Source organism: Homo sapiens, chromosome 11 (assembly GCF_000001405.40).
Source record: "Homo sapiens chromosome 11, GRCh38.p14 Primary Assembly".
NCBI lineage: Eukaryota > Metazoa > Chordata > Mammalia > Primates > Hominidae > Homo > Homo sapiens.
Genome location: NC_000011.10, coordinates 115,719,507 through 115,736,095, shown reverse-complemented (window position 1 = coordinate 115,736,095; position 16,589 = coordinate 115,719,507). Strand labels below are relative to the sequence as shown.

Below are 16,589 nucleotides of genomic sequence, written 5' to 3'. Positions count from 1 at the left end.
AATTCTGCAGTCTGCACAGGCTGCCATCATCTCCAAACCTCTGCCCAGCCCTCACACGGCAGCAGCATGAATTGCCCTGTCCTAGCCCTTCCCAAGGTCATAGTCATTCCTAGAGAAGAATGGGCTTCTGCCTCCTGCCAGACAGACTAGCCGGGATTGCCGGACACATTAACACCCAGAAATTGTATTCCCTACCACAGCCAAGCTGAAGAGAGGTTGACCAAGAGGTCAGATGCAGATGCGAGATGCATTGCATTCTGAGAGCAGCAACTGTCTCTGCTGTGTAAGCCTGAAATGTCTCTTGACATCTCTGAGCCTCACTCTCCATTTCTCTAGAATGAAGATCATAATGCTTATCCTTGCATTATGGTATCCTTGCATTATGGTATCTCCTTAAGGATCTCATGGTATTCTTATTACCATGAGACCTAAATATAATCAACTATATGGTCCCGCTTTTAAAAATGTGAATATTTTGGCCAGGCACAGTGGCTCACGCCTGTAATCCCAGCACTTTGGGAGGCCGAGGCGGGCAGATCACAAGGTCAGGAGATCGATACCATGCTGGCTAACATGGTGAAACCCCGTCTCTACTAAAAATACAAAAAAAAATTAGCCAGGCTGGTAGCAGGTGCCTGTAGTCCCAGCTACTCAGGAGGCTGAGGCAGGAGAATGGCGTGAACCCGGGAGGCGGAGCTTGCAGTGAGCTGAGATCATGCCACCGCACTCCAGCCTGGAAGACAGAGCGAGACTCCATCTCAAAAAAAAACAAAAAACAAAAAACAAAAAAAAACCAACAACAACAAAAAAAGTGAATATTTTACACCCTTTACATATTGTTTTACTGGTGTCCACAAGGATCTGGCCCAATATCATCCTTCTTTCCCTCCCAGAAACACCTTTCCATGAAGCTACTGTCAGGTGAGCTACACTGATGAGCGAGAAGCACTAGTCCTGATAGATACAGTTGGAACTCACAATATATTTTCCCTCTGGAACAATGGCATATATGAAATTTGGGTGTTGGGGACAGAAATGATCGTATTTCGTATTTTAATTATGTGTGAGTTAAATAGATTTTTGAGGAGTTCCCTGAAAACCTCCCCCTGCATTTAACACTTTTTCTATGAGAGGAAAACACTCCTGATTCATAATAACTAAGCTACAAGCAAATCTTTGGAAACCTGCCCATCTGTAAGTAGGGTTCTACCTGTGTTAAATCACCTTCAGATGCAGCCGTTCTGTGCCAACCTGGTGGGCTAATGACACATTTGTGGATCTCAGCGTGTCTGTGATATCACAAACACAGGTGTGGTCTCCTGCCTTCCCCTGCAGAGGAAGGAAGGGGTGAATGGAAAAAGAGTGGCAACTTCCTTGGCTCTCCTATCCTGCAGTAGGTGAGCCCTCTGCATGGGATCTTTCGGGGCTGAGAGCTCTTTTCTGTTAAAGGAATGTCTGCAAAAGACAAGACAAATACATTTGAACAGTCCCGAGGAGAGGTAATTTCAGAGTAGACACCTATTTCTCCACCAGAAACAAAGCAGATCCCAGATCTGAAAAGCAGGCTTGAGGAGGCAAGAGGAAGCATCCAGGAACCCCAGAGCAGGCAGTGGATTACCCATTGGCTCTGGGTAAAGCCAAGAGGGTTTAGAGAGGGATTTGCGCTGTTTCAGCCTCCTGATTCAACTCCTCTCCAAGGAAAGAGGCTCAGTAGGCCAACCAAGCCACTTTTCCTCTCTTGAGGGAAGACGACCAAAGATGCAACTTGCCCAGCTGTCTGTTATGAACGAAATTGCATCCCCGCAAAATTCATATGTTGAAGGCCTAACACCTCGTACCTCAGTATTTGACTGTATTTGGAGACAGGGTCTTTACAGAGGTAATAAAGGTGACACGAGGTCATTAGAGTGGGCCCTAATCCATTATGATGGGCATTTATAAAAGGAGGAGATTAGGACACAGAGAAGAATGCATGGAGAAAAGACCATGTGAAGACTCAGGGAGGGTGTGGTCATCTACAAGCCAAGGAGAGAGGCATCAGAAGAAACAATCCTCACAACACCTTGATCTTGGAGTTCTAGCCTCCAGAGCAGTGAGAAAAACAAACCGCCATCCAGGATGTGGCCCTTTGTTATGGCAGCCCTCGAAAACCAACACACAGCAGAACAACACCAGAGGCAAATCAGAAAGAAAATGAGATGCAGACTCCAGCAGCCTGGTCTCCCAGTCAGGACACAAGCCAGACCTGGACGGAAGTGGTCACAGCACTTCTAGCTCCAAAATAACCACTGGGTGGAGGGTCCTGGTTCCTCCTCCCACCAACCCCACGCAGCCCTCTCTATCCCCATCTTCTCAGGCTCACTGAGTGCAATGTCTGCCTGCATCCCTCTATCAGGGGCCTTCCTCTGCCCACAGAGGGAGTTATATACAAGCCCGAGGAATGAGGAAGAGAAGACAAAAGCAAGATGGAGCCTCACTGTCTGATTTTCCCAGACGTTCCCAGGAGGTCCTGGTTATGCAGGGCAGTCTGGATTTTTGGTGCGTACACCATTAGATGCCTCTTTCTTACTCTGCTTAGCGCACCAGGTCTGTAGGTTCTGGTTCTTAAGGGCCATGTAGAGTCCAACTAAAAAGGGCAGGTGTTTGTTTTCCAACCCAATTTCCTTCTAGTGGCGGAAACACTTGCAGCCCTTTCCCTTCCCTTCCTTGCCCACTGACCTCCACTCTCTCCCCTGTTGTAGACAGTGGTGTGTCTTCTGTCAAATGCATTTCTCCACCAGTCATAGCACTCATTCTGAGACAATCACAAGCTCAGAAAACCTAACAAAAGTAGGTGCTGTTTCTTGAGTGCCTACCACGTGGCCAGCACTGTACTAGTCACTTTACTCACCATATTTCCAGCCCTCACAGCCACCCCTGCAGGTGGGAATGACCACTCCCTTCCTAAAGATGAGAAAACCTGAACTAGGAGTGGTGGCTCGCACCTGTAATCCCAGGGACTCAGGATGCTGAAGTAGGAGGATCGCTTGAGCCCAAGAGTTCGACGCTGCAGTGAGCTATGATCCCACTGCTGCACTTTAGCCTGGGTGAAAAAGTGAGACCCTATCTCTAAAAAATAAATAAAAATAAAAATAAAAGATGAGAAAACCAAGGCTCAGGAGAAGTAACTTGTCCAGGGTCAGGCAGCCTGCTCTAGGCAGAGCTAGAACAGAAAGTGAGCTTTGGCTGACATATTTGCTTTGAACTTTTCACTCTGCAACTCTGATGAGAAAAAGTATATCTACACTGTGAAAGGCTATACAAGGAAAATTGGATTTTTTCCAATTCTTATTGATAATAACTAGGAGACATTAAAAAGAAAGAGAGAGGAGCCAGGCACAGTGGTTCATGCCCGTAATCCCAGCACTTTGGGAGGCCAAGGTGGGCAAATCACTTGAGCCCAGAAATTTGAGACTAGCCTGGGCAACATGCAAAACCCCATCTCTATAAAAAAAAATACAAAAATTAGCTGGACATGGTGGCAGGAACCTGTAGTCCCAGCTACTCGGGAGGCTGAGAGGGGAGGATTATTTGAGCCCAGGAGGTGGTGGCTGCAGTGAGACAAGATCACGCCACTGCACTCCAGCCTAGGTGACAGAGAGAGACTCTGAAAAAAAAAAAAAGAGAAAGAGAGGGAGAGGAGAGAGAGAGAAATCTTCAACAAGCACAAAAATGCCATGACTTCTAAAACTAAGATCTGATCTCCAACTTAAAAACCTTCTGTCTCTGTTTTGCCTGCAGAGAAGTATAAATTCCTTTGGAGAATGAAGCTGCTTTCCAATGCTTGCTGTAATAGCCCTCTGCATCTTTCTTTCATAACATCCAGTACAATTTGAAGTTATATATTGGGTGATTGTTTGATTAATGTTTGTCTTTCTGAAATTTTGAGGTAGCATGATCATATAACTTAAAGTGTAAATGGGAACACTTTTGAAAGTAAAAGGAGATGTTATTAATAATTATTCCAGGACAAAAAGGAGACTGGAACATGTGGTCATCCTACAGGTGAAGCAGAGACCAACTCTGGTTTACTTGTCATTGCAGTCCCAGTGCCAGATTCCATACTTGGCACAGAGTAGATGCTCAATAAATAAACATGATGATTGATTTAACAATGTCTTTGAAGTATTTTTCACTATCTTATCCCACCATATCTTTCAGGTTCCACCTACTGCAGCTTCTCACATATCCCAACCCTAGACATGCAGGGGTCCCCGTTTAGCCATTTTGAACATACCATATATTCTCACAGCCTCAAGCTTTTATGAAACTGTCGCCTTCGCTCACAATGCACTCCCCTCACTCTCCACCCGACTCCTTCCATTCTTAAAAGTATTCTCCACTCAGATACCACCTCTTCTCTGAAATCTTCCTCCCATTTCCCAGAACACTTGTACACTAATAGTGACCAACTTCTCTAATAACAAACATCCCACTCCATTGTAGGTATGTATGCTCCTTGTCCACCAGTAGACTGAGAGTTCCTCCAGGTTAGAGCACAAGTTTCATCCATCTCCCCAGGGCACATCCTAGCAGCATACACAGAGTAGACATGAGACAAACGCTTGTTGAAAGAATCAGATGAGGTTGGGAGTCCCCTTAAGTATCAACAGTCAAGAAATATTAAAAAGGAGTGAACTTGGGTTCTGAAATAATCATGTCTATGGTGTTATGGCTATACAGCTACTCACCTTCTTACACTGCATGGTGCTGGGCACCTAGCAATCACATTATCAATCAATATTATTAGTAGTAGTATTATCAATCATTTATTTTCATGTATCCCTTCACTCTTGTCTTTCCAGACTTCTGGAACGCTAACGGCAAGTTTCTGCTATCTCCTCAATCTCAGTTCCTCACCAGCATTTTTTTCTATTGGAACTGACCTTCTCCCCTGCTTTTTGTCAGCTGAGATGTATTAGAGAGTCTTTCATTGACAGGCAAGTCTTCCTGGCACTTCATCACGCCATATTCTTCAAAGTGTCTCTGACTCTATGGCTGCTGCTGGACTCCTTGGACCCTCCATCTTCCCCCTTGGCCAGGCTGTTTATATCCTTTAAAGACCTTTCACATAATGCCTGTGCTAATATTTACATCCCTGCTAAACCAGGCTGGCCTCTGCTGCCCTGGGCATTTCTTGACTCAAGCAGGATGGAGTTGCAATCTTTCCAAGCTACTCAGTAGCTATTTCCCATTCATAGAACCAAAGCATGCTAAGAGCTGGAAGTTGCTGAGTGTGCAGCCTACCTGGGGGTTAGGATATGACCAATGAAAGATGTGCTGGATTTAGCCTAGTTGCAGGTAATATACAGTCTTTGGAAACGGATAGTCCTGTGTTTGGAACAAAGCTCATCCACTCATCAGCTATGTGACCAGTAAATGATTTTATCTCTCCAGAGTCTTAATTCCCACATCTATAAAAAAGAAATCATTTTTTTATGAATAATTGCTTCATGTAGATAATTACATGATAGGATTGTTATAAGGATTAAATGTGATAATGTATATAAAAAGAAAGGCACATAATAATTGCTCAGTAAATGATATCTATTATTACAAAAAATCTAAAATATAGCACACACTTACTGTATATAAAGGTGTGTAGAGTGCTAAACTCTGGAATTGGAGTAAGGAAGATAAAAAGAGGAGGATAAAATCCCTGTCCTCCTCAAGTTCAAAATCAGAACTCAAAGCAAACTGTGATTAAGAGCTATAAGAGATACAGACAACTGGGAGCAAAAGGAGAAGATTCTGGAAGGGACAGAGTTGAGATCGTGGCTAGGCCTGAAAGATTGACAAGAGCCTTGGTTCACAGCTACGATGAGAGAAAACTTTGCAGAAGCAATGATTCATGCAAAATCTCAGAGGAAGGCTGTAGAATAACAAAAACAATAGCTAATACTTAAATGAGGCACTTCTTATAAGGCAGGCACTGAGCAAAATGTTTTATATCACCTCATCTAATCCTCTCAACAACTATGCGAGATGAGGTAGGTGCTAATATTATTCCCATTCTGCAAATGACTCTGAGGCTGAGAAAGGTGAAGTGGTTTGCTCAGGATTGCAGGGCTATTAAGTGGCAGAGCAGGATTTGAACTCAGGTCTGTCTGACCCTAAAGCCAAAGCTCTAATTCCACAACTGTGTGTGACAGGTGGGCATGTGTGAGAATTGTGGGAAGATCAGGGTGGCTGGAAGGTAGTTAGGGTATATACACATGGGTGTACGCATGTGTGTGTGCGTGCATGTATGCACACATGCACAAGTTGGGGGTATGGTACAGAGGAAATTTGAAAGAGAGGGCTTCTAGAAGAGAGGTAAGGAAACTACTGAGGAAGATTCTGGAATCCAGGCTGAGGGCCTTACGCTCTTCTGGAGGCTGACTTCAGTTCTCCTCACTGCATACTCAACCCCATTAGGCCCCAAGGGTTATCAATAATGGCAATGATCAGGCTAATAATGATAGTGGTAACAACCCCTGGAGGGAGGGTGGTGAGCCTGGGCCTGCAATGAACTCCTGCCAGGAGGAAAAGGCCTCCAACTCCCATTTTCTGGGCTTCAGGGCCAGGCCTAGGCCTCCAAATTGACTTTGACTTCACAGGAGAGCTCAGCAAATTCTGCAAAAGCAAAATACCTGCAGGAATATCTCTCCTTCTCTAGAGTTTTGGCAAACTCATTATCCCAATCAATATCTGAGTAATTACAATCCCTTGTGATCAAAGGGGGGTGTATTTCCCTTTCTTTGGCCTCTTTACAGGGCCCTCTTATCTGGAAAAAGATTTCTTAATCTACTTTCCCTAAATGCCCTGAAGGTCTGCGTGCCACTGCAGCCCCAGAATTCCCTGATTGCTTTTATTCTCCTTAACTGCTACCTGGCCCAGCTTGCTGGCAGCCCTGGCAGGAATCAGCCTTTTAGCTGGGGCCTCCCACTGAGCCCTCAAGGGAAAAGCAAGGAGGTGGGAGCCGGGACTCTCGGGAACCCACAAGAACCCAGGAGGGCCCCACTTCCTTCTCCATCTAAGAGGAAGCAGGGAAGGCTGAAGGCTGGGAGTGAGGTCAGCCCACTCTTGCCCCTCTTATGAGTTACACTCCCCACTCCTGCCAATCTTTCACCCTCTCACAAGGCCCCATCTCTGGCGGAGTCGGAGGAAGGGGTGGTTTGAGAATTAGAAAGATGTGGGTTCAAAGTTTTCCTTTAGGTCCTTGACAAGGACCCACAAGGTGAAAGAAATTTTTGTTCAGTTATCCCAGCCATCCTTCTACTCCATGAACCCCTCACCCATGCACCCTCCAGACAAAAGACCATCTATTAAGCTTGCAGGGTCCGGCCCCTAAGGCATGAAGATCAGCTCCCTAGCTCAGCCTCCCTGTGCCTCCTAAGTAACAACTGTGCTCTTATGTGGGTCAGGGTGGGTCTCCATGGAGGGGGAGCTGCGATGCAGAAATATAAAGAGGCGCTGCCGCATGGCCAACTCTCTCCTTACTGGGGGCTCATACTCATTGAGCATACTTACTTACTGAGCATACTCAGCCTGGCCTGATGTATGATTTCAAGACCAGGTCCTTTCTGACTCCCAATGGTTTAAGAAGTTTCTGCACGCCAGAAACCTAATTACCCCAAAGATTTCGGTTCCATCTTCCCAGCTTTGCTTCCAAAGAGGCCCCTCCAAGAACACCACTGGGTTGGAGTCATCACTTTGCTGACCACTTGCAGGGCCGTTTATTGTATTTTTATGAGGGGAGTACTGTGCTGTATAATACATTTCCCAGCAAAGAGCCATGGCTCTCAGTGCCACGGCTGCTACTGGGGAGGGGTAAAATAATGATGGACTCGTGTATACACACGTCTTCACACGAAGAGGGAGGTGTGGACCCAAGTGAGCACAGACAACTGTTGCCAGGCCACGCACACTTAGACACAGATAGATAAACCAGCTACATACTCTCCACCAAGCACATCATGGTAAGCATTCCAGAGCCCACAGGCCAGCCCTCTGCCTCCAGGCAGATTTGTTCCAATTTCCCCCAGACAGCATGGATCTCTACAACTCTGAGGCAGGCAATTTTACCATTCCAATGGCAGACTTTTCTAGTGTTTAACAGCCCTCCTCCCATGGAGTAGTTTCCTTCTAGAATTAGCAATGTTCACGCTGGTGGGGAACTTGGAGATCCTATAGACAAAACCTCTCACTGTAGAAATGGCAAGATTCAAGGTTCTCCATTCCCAGAGCAATCACTCCACCCTGTAGGACAGACACTCATGGCTTGGGGGCTTGGCAGGCCAATCAAACACCCCGCAAACTCTTCCAGCTCAGCTCAGAGCCAAGGAGGTGGCCCTCTCATCAGGTGTAGGTCCTAGTTAGGCTCATCAATTTTCATAAGAGAATGACAACCCTACTACAGTGTTGATGGATTTCAACTGTTTCTGTGTTTGTAAGGCATATGGGTCTGTCTTTAATTGGCAACCCAATGGCTGCACTTCAGTTATTTGGCAGGGAATACAGTCTCGAACTCACTGCCATGCAGTGTCCATCAATAACCCAGCTGAGAGAGACAAACTATATGAAAGATTGCCTGAAGGGGATGCAGTACATCCATCCCTCTAGAAATATTAACAACGGCCCCAGGGTTTAGCCAGGTCAGCAGACAGCTGTCTATTGGACCATATCCCTCTGGTCCCCTGTGGAGCTGCTTTTCTGAGCTGAAGTTTGGCCTGTGTTGAAGGATGATGCTACAGGGAGCAGCCTCAAGGAATGAGGAGCCAGCCTACTGTGAGGGTGGTGAGGATGCTGTTCATCACATAACACAGAGTTCCTAGGAAGGACTCCAGGAAAAGCTCTTTCTGGTTCAGCATCAGGAATAGTTGGGCTCTTTCTTTCCTTCCTTCCCTCCTTCCTTTCTTCCTTTCCTTCCTTCCTTCCCTCCTTCCTTCCCTCCTTCCTTCCCTCCTTCCTTCCCTCCTTCCTTCCCTCCTTCTCCCCTTCCTCCTCTTCCTCCTCCTCCCCCTTCTTCTTTTCTCTCTCTCTTCCCTCTTCCTTTCTTTCCTTTTTTTCTCTCATATTACAGGTACTGTAAACTACTGTAAATTGTGAGACTGACTGGGCTACCTTGTTCAGATTGGCTGTCAGAAACTTTAGATTCTGAATCAGAGCCTGCCATTAGTAGGTGTTTAGGGGCTTCAAGTTCTGCATCCCTGGATTGGCCTCATTCATGATCCCCTGTGACATTCCTTCCTTTGTTCTTCTATTTTCCTTTCCCATTTCCTTCTAATATGTGTTATGGCATTGTGTTTCACATATCTGTGTAAGCCACCATAACACCACTTTGGCACAAGGCAGGTATAAGTAAGTACATTAATGAATTAATTAATGCAGCTCAAACTGTGCTGCACACAGAGATTATATTTACAAAGAAGTCCATTTACCAAGCTGGTACTGGAAGGCCCCCCAGACAAAGAGTCTTGAAAGATGTGTGAGATACAGAGAAACAGAAGCAAGTGGAAAAATCATTCTGATCTGCATCCTGCCCCTTCCAATGTAAACTAAGCTGCATCTTCTCACTCTTCTCTTAACACCAATGGAGTCCATCTCTGGTAACTTCTAATCAAATTTAACATCTCTTTGTGAATCTGAAGGCACAGACAAAAAAAATAAGAATAATAAAATCACAGAAGGTGAGCACCTGGAAGAATCTGAGAAATCCTCTCAGCTGAGCCTTTATTTTAACAAGGGAGAAATGAAGTCCTAGACAAGACAAGTTCAAGTTTCTGGATGATTTAGAGCAAGTTCTGGGTTGAGAATCCAGTATCCCTAACTCCCTGAAAGTCAGTGGTCTTTGCTGTATTCCATTAATCTAAATCATTGTATTTCCTGTTAGGAAGCCTGAGCTTTATGCTTATGTTAGTACGTACTGATCATCTATAAAATGGAGGAGTGGTGGGTAGGACTTTCTCTTGTATGGTTTCATCCTTTCAGGGGGACGTTAGGGGATTTATGACTTTGGGCACATTTCTTAACCTCACTGAGCCTTTACTTCCTCATCTGTAAAATGGACATGATAACATTTCCCTCAGGTTATTGTTAGTATTGGATGAGAAAATGTGCAGGAAGAGCCTGACAGATAGAAAACACTGATAAAGGTTGGTTGTGGTGGTGGTGGAGATGGTGGCAGTGATGGTGGTTACTAGTTCCCCCATTTCACAGAAAGGAACAGCAGGCTGAGGGCACGTAGTAATTTAGCCAAGGAAACATACCAGGATCCCTGTTGTGTCTGCCCCAGAGCAGCACCTTCACGTTTAGAATGCTTGGAGTGTGAGAGAGCTTAGGTGCTTGGATTTCCAATTTCCCATTCTCTCCATCCTATCTCTGGTTTCTTCCTGATCCCACAGCCTGCCTCTGCCCACCGACTAACTACCTGTTCATAAATACCATATGCCTAAATACCAATACCAAAATACCTAAATCCAGATTGACACTTGAGTCAATAACCAAGGAACCAATCTTTTGGGGGCTCTTCTATCTGGGACAATTTGTGTGAGATCCTGACCACAGTGGCAAAGGAATAGGGACAAAGAAATTTTCCAGGGACCTTTTCAAGTTAAAGACTCTAATAATTCTATTTTCTTCTGGCCCAAGCTTAGGCATCTAAGTCTTGTTTGAGTACTGTTTTAGTCCACTTTGTGCTCTTCTAATAGAATATCTGAGCCTGGGCAGTTTATAAAGAAAAGAGATTTATTGGCTCACAATTCTGGTGGCTTAAGTTCAAGACTTGGCATCTGCATCTGGTAAGGACATCGGGTTACTTCAACTCACTGCAGAAAGTGGAAGAGAAGCCAGCATGCGCAAAGAGATCACATGGTGAGAGAACTCATTCACCTCCAACCATGGCGCTATTCATGAGGGATCCGCCCCCATGACCCAAACACCTACCACCAGTTCCCACCTCCAACAATGGAGGTCAAATTTCAACATGATGTATGGAAGAGACAAATATCCAAATCATAGCAGGTATCTTGGGTAGAAATGTTAACATCTGGAGCCTTTGCTGAGTCTATACTTCAAGGTCTGCACACAAAGCAACTTTCAGCTCTTGGCATGCTTTGATGCTATGAGTAGGAAATAGCTACTGAGTAACCTGGAAAGACTGCAACTCCATCCTACTCGAGTCAAAGAAATGCCCAGGGCAGCAGAAGCCAGCTAGTTAGGCAGGAATGTAAATATTAACATAGGCATTACATAAAACGTCTTTAAAAATATGAACAGCATGGCCAAGGGGAAGATGGGAGGATCCAGGAAGCCCAGCAGCAGCTGTGGCATCAGAGGTCTCTACCCTTACCTCACACCATATATACAATGCAACCCAAAATGAAACATAGTCCTGAACATAAAACCTAAAACTATAAAACTTTTGGAAGAAAACATAACAGAAAACTTTTGTGACCTTAGATTAGGTAAGTATCTCTTAGATATGACACCAAAACTATGATCCATGGTATAGAGAATTTTATCAACTCTAAAATCTTCTCTTTAAAAGACACTCTTGAAAGAATTAATAAATAAGTCACAATGTTGGAGAAAATATTTCCAAAACACATATATGAAAAAGGACTGAAATCTAGAATACATCAACAACTTTCAAACTCAACAATAAGAAAAAACCCAACACATTAAAAAAAAATAAGCAATGAATATTTCACCAAAGATACACAAATAGCAAACAATAACATGAAAAGATGTTCAACATTATTTATTTATTTATTAAAGAAATACAAATTAAGTTTGGGCATGGTGGCTCATGTCTGTCATTCTGATACTTTGGGAGGCTGAGGCGGGAGGAAAACTTGAGCCCAGGAGTTTGAAACCAGCCTGGGAAACATGGTGAGACCCTGTCTCTATTTTTAAAATTTTTTAAGAAAAAAATACAAATTAAAACTATAATGAGATACACTGCATATCTATTTATATGGCTAAAATTAAAAATAAATAAATTAATTAATAAATAACAATACCAAGTCCTGGGAGAATATGGGACAACTGGAACTGTCTATCATTACTGGTGAGAATGCAAAATGATACAGCCATTTTGGAAAACAGTCTGGCAGTTTCTTATAAAGCTAAATACATACTTGTCATGTGACATAGCAATTGCAGTATTTACCATGTAAAATAAACTTATGTTCACATGAAACCTGTATGTGAATGCTTACAGAAACTTTATCCATAATCACCAAAAACTGGAAACAAGCCCCATGTCCTTCATCTAGTGAATGAGTACACAAACTGTAGTACATCATAAGTGGAATCCTACTGAGCAATAAAAAGAAATGAACTACTGACATATACAACAACATGGATAAATCTCAGATTTATTATGCGAAGTGAAAAAAGCCAGACTCAAAAGGCTATATATATTACATTTATAAGATATTCTGGGAAAGGCAAGCTATAGAAACAGAAAACAGATTCATGGTTTCCAGGGACTGAGGGTGGCAGAGTAGCTGAAAGCAAAGGGACCCAAGGGGATTTAGGAGATTGATGAAATTTTTCTATATCTTCGCTGTGGTAGTGGTTACATTACTTTATGCATTCGTCAAAACTCATAAACTGTACAATAGAAAGAGTTAATAGTAATGTATGTAAATTATACCTCAGTTTTTAAAATGGAAGGAGTTCTTTATTCTTGACAGAAATAACCTATATGATACATACTAAAAATTATTATCTACATTTTATAAATGAAGAAATGGAGGAATAAAGAGATCAGTTAACTTGTCTACATTATACACATTATAGCCTTAGGAAGAGATAAAGCTGTGACTGGAATCCGGACTCTGGAGCTCCAAAGTCCATTATTTTGGCCACCAGACTATACTGTCTCTCACAATGGGGACTTCTCTTTGTTCTTGAGTAACTCTGGCTCACCCACTCACCCACTGGATTTTAACCAACTTGAAGGTACAGTCTGAGTGATAAGCCTCTTATGTGTGTTTTAAATACATGAGAATTAGTTGAATATATTGCGTTCTTAAAAACATTCAAACAATTCAAGACTATAGAGATTAAAGAGTGAAGTTCCCTTCCATCCCTCCTGGCCCACTTTCTCCCCTACTCTTGGAATAATTGTGTTGACAGGTGTTGGCTAGCCTTCAACTTTTTGCTGTACAAGTCTATAGTTACATATGCACACCATATGCATTTCCAATTCCCCGCTCAGTCTCCAGTGTAGCAACTGTGCTGGTCATGGAAGCGTGCTTGACTTGGAAACAAAAGCCACAGGTTCAAAAGCCGCCACTTTTCCTTGCTTTGTCATAGACTAGCTGCATGACCCAAAGGAAGCTAGGCTACCTCTATGTGCCTGCTTTTTAATTTCCAAAACATAAATAATACTCATTTTTAATAAGAATAGGTTCCTTACCACTTAGCAATAGTTCAGTAAATGCTGTTTAATGCAATCCAGGTAATTGAATTGTAATTGATGACAGCTATGACCATGACCAGCAAGTCTCCATTCAGTCAACCCCTGTGCATGAGGGTGATTAGAACTCAGGTCTATCTGAATTCAGCACCTGTTATTTCAAAAATCCACTATACAATCCTGACAGGTAATCTGGATTCTTTGTCACTCAAAGTGTGTAGGAATTGATGGGACAGGAAATACTTAGCCTGGAGAAGAAAAGACTCTTCAGGGATGTGAACATTGGTTTAAAATATTTGAAGAGCTGTCATATGGGAAGAGAAGGCAGATTTGTTCTCAGTTGCTCCAGGGCAAAGCTGGAATTAATCTGGATGCAAATTTTGTATTATGGAATAAAATTGTCCAACAACTATTAGCCAACAAAGGAGGAACTGCCCATGAGGCAGTGGGCTTCCCACCACTTTCCAGTAATCAACCTGAAACTGCATGATCATTTGTCAGGAGAGAGAAAGAAATGCCTCAGCTGGCAGATTTCAGGATTCCATGCTTCTCTGTACAGAGGTGCACATCCTCAGAACATATGTAGGTATATGCGAATAGTGGAAGAAGGGTATATGCATTCTATCTATCTTTTCATCCTCCCCACTAAGGAAAAAGTTGAGAGGCCAATAATGAGGTCAAGTGGAATCAGATGCACAGAGGAACCAAGGCAATATGAGATAGATGGTTTTTCATCAGCTGGTCCTGTATGTAAGAAGAGGAGCAAAAGGAGAGAATGTCCTGCCCTCCAAAAATGCAGACCTATTTGGATCCTATTGGAGATCCCTTGGCAGCTGACACACATGCCCATCTGCCATGCTGGCACAGTGCCCCCAGCAAGGGGAGCTCTGCTTCCTGCTGGTGGGCATAGGTGCCAGGTGGTTGCACATGCCTGCAGAGGGGGGCCTCTGTCCTAAATACTACGGGGAACTTGCAGTCCTCATACTCACCCCCTGCCCTACTCAACCCCCAGCAGCCCCACCAGGGGGCCTAAAGGTGCCCTGGAGTTGCAGAAAGTGGAAACAGAGAAGCTAAACACTGGAGAGTTTGGGGCTGCCAAATGAACAGGCCTTGCCACATCGAGCATGTAGTAGAGCCAAGACCACCCAAGGAACAACCAAATGGACTCTTGGAAGGAAAGGCCAAGGCACAAACTATACCAACTCAAAGGGCATCACAAGGGGTTCAGGCCCTTGAGAGAGAGAAGGGGTATTATAGGATGCCTTTGGCTCTGTCATTCTCCTCCAGGAATGAGGAGAAACAACTCGGAGGGAAGGATACTCATTTTTCTCTACATCTGAACTTGGTGAGTTCATCCCTGTCTGTTGTAGGATGGGAGTGTCCGACCCCGTAGTCGTCTCTGCCTAACTGCATGTGACGGTCTCCTCCTACGCTGGTGTGTGGTGTGTGTGTGTGTGTGTTGTGTATGTGTGCATGCCACGTCTGTGTGTGGGTTGCAGTAATTGCATATTGCTGATGCTGCAAAAGCACATAAAGGCTGGGCAGCTAATCCAATCATTCATGCTTCCCTTGTTCCTACTCTGGGATCTGATAGATAAAAATACCCAGGCAAATGACCAGTTTCATGGACTGTTTCCTCTTTTGTCAATACAAGGAATTGTGAGCTGTCATCTTGTCCCTCCTCTCCAGAGAGAGAACTCCAATATTTATGACCAGCTTTTATAACACTAATTGTATTTCTAATTGTTTTTCCCTCTCAGCAGCATTGCGTCCCTCACCCCAGTGACGATGGGCAGTTCTGAGGTTTATGAAGAGTGGTTTGTCACAAATGAAACTCAGAAGAGGTTGTGAATGAAGCGGCCACATTTCCTGCTTAGTGGTCCTCCTCTGTTCTGAAGCATGGGTTCTGGCTGGAGGCCAAAGTCCTACGTGTCCAACAGCAGAAGGGATGGGATTGGCTCTCGCCTCCCCTGCCCAGAGATCAGGAGTCAGGGACGCCATCAAGGACAGCTCCTTGGGCTGGGTGTCCTTCAATTGCAGTGCAAACATGTCCCTGCCTCAATTTCTTCCACGTAGAAAATCTCTTTCCTCTTCCCACCTCCTAAACCTGCTTCTTGCATTTCCACTCAGCAAAAGGTCCATTGGCTTTTTATTTTTTTTTAAGGTCTGAAAACTGATTTTAGATTTTTCAGATCAATGAAAGTGCAGGAAGCAGAGTGGTGTAGTGTGAGGCAAATCTGACTAGGAATCGAGAAAGCTGAGGTCTACTCATTCAATTATTCATTCGCTCATTTACACATCAAACATTTATGGGGGCCTACTATGTGAGCAGCATTGTCCTACGTTCTAGGAATAGAGAGACCCTAAAATCTCACGTCTTAAGCCATAGCTGCTTCTGTTATAAGGTGGAAGTGGACCACCAGGACACCACAGTCCCCAGAAGAACTGCATTCTACCTTTACAATATTTCAAAGCAGGACAGCTTGAAGAACATCTCTGCATATGTGAAGACAGGTCTGGATGGAGTTGGGGAGTCTGAGTTCTAATTTTGCTCTGCCCCCTTTCAATGCATGACCTTAGACAAATCCCTTGGACTCTCTAGGTCCCAGTTTCTTTATATATAGGACAAAAACAGAAGTAACCATGTACCCCATGCTGATTTTGAGTGTTACATGAGATACTATGGGTGGACACTATCTGCAAACTTTATATAAAACAACCCATCAAAGTAAGAAACGACTATCTGTGATAACCGGGGAGCCCTCGCTAATTCTTCCAGGCTCACCATGCAGAGTACAAAAATGAACACTTAGAAGTAATTTTGAGGAGGAAGGGCAATACTGGCCATTCCCTTTTCAAAGGAGAGGGAGAAATCTCAAGTAAATCCTTGGAAGATCTCCCCTGAGGCTTGGGCCGAACTAACCAGCACCCCACAAAAGGAGACACAAACTCAGTAATGTCCACAATAATAGTCAAGCAGAGTTTAACTCGACAGTGAATTCACCCTACGGAGCCATCTTTGGCTACTGGTAAAATGCACAACCCTGGGCTTGGGGAGCTATAAAGGTCATATAGCCCTGGATCTGGTATCCAACCAGGATCCCAGGTAGCTGATAGCTGAGCTCTGTGGATGATCTCT

The 16,589-nt window shown here is 44.0% G+C and overlaps 2 long non-coding RNA genes across 2 annotated transcripts in view; one reads left to right on the top strand and one right to left on the bottom strand.

Moving 5' to 3' along the window:
- LINC02698 (long intergenic non-protein coding RNA 2698) overlaps nt 1-16,589 on the bottom strand; it is a 242,222-nt gene that overhangs the window by 165,479 nt on the left and 60,154 nt on the right. The gene's annotated exons all lie outside the window — the stretch shown is intronic.
- On the top strand, nt 1,334-4,151 carry LOC101928985 (uncharacterized). The gene is made up of 2 exons (NR_135066.2): nt 1,334-2,538; nt 2,902-4,151. It is a non-coding gene; the product is annotated as an uncharacterized LOC101928985 (long non-coding RNA).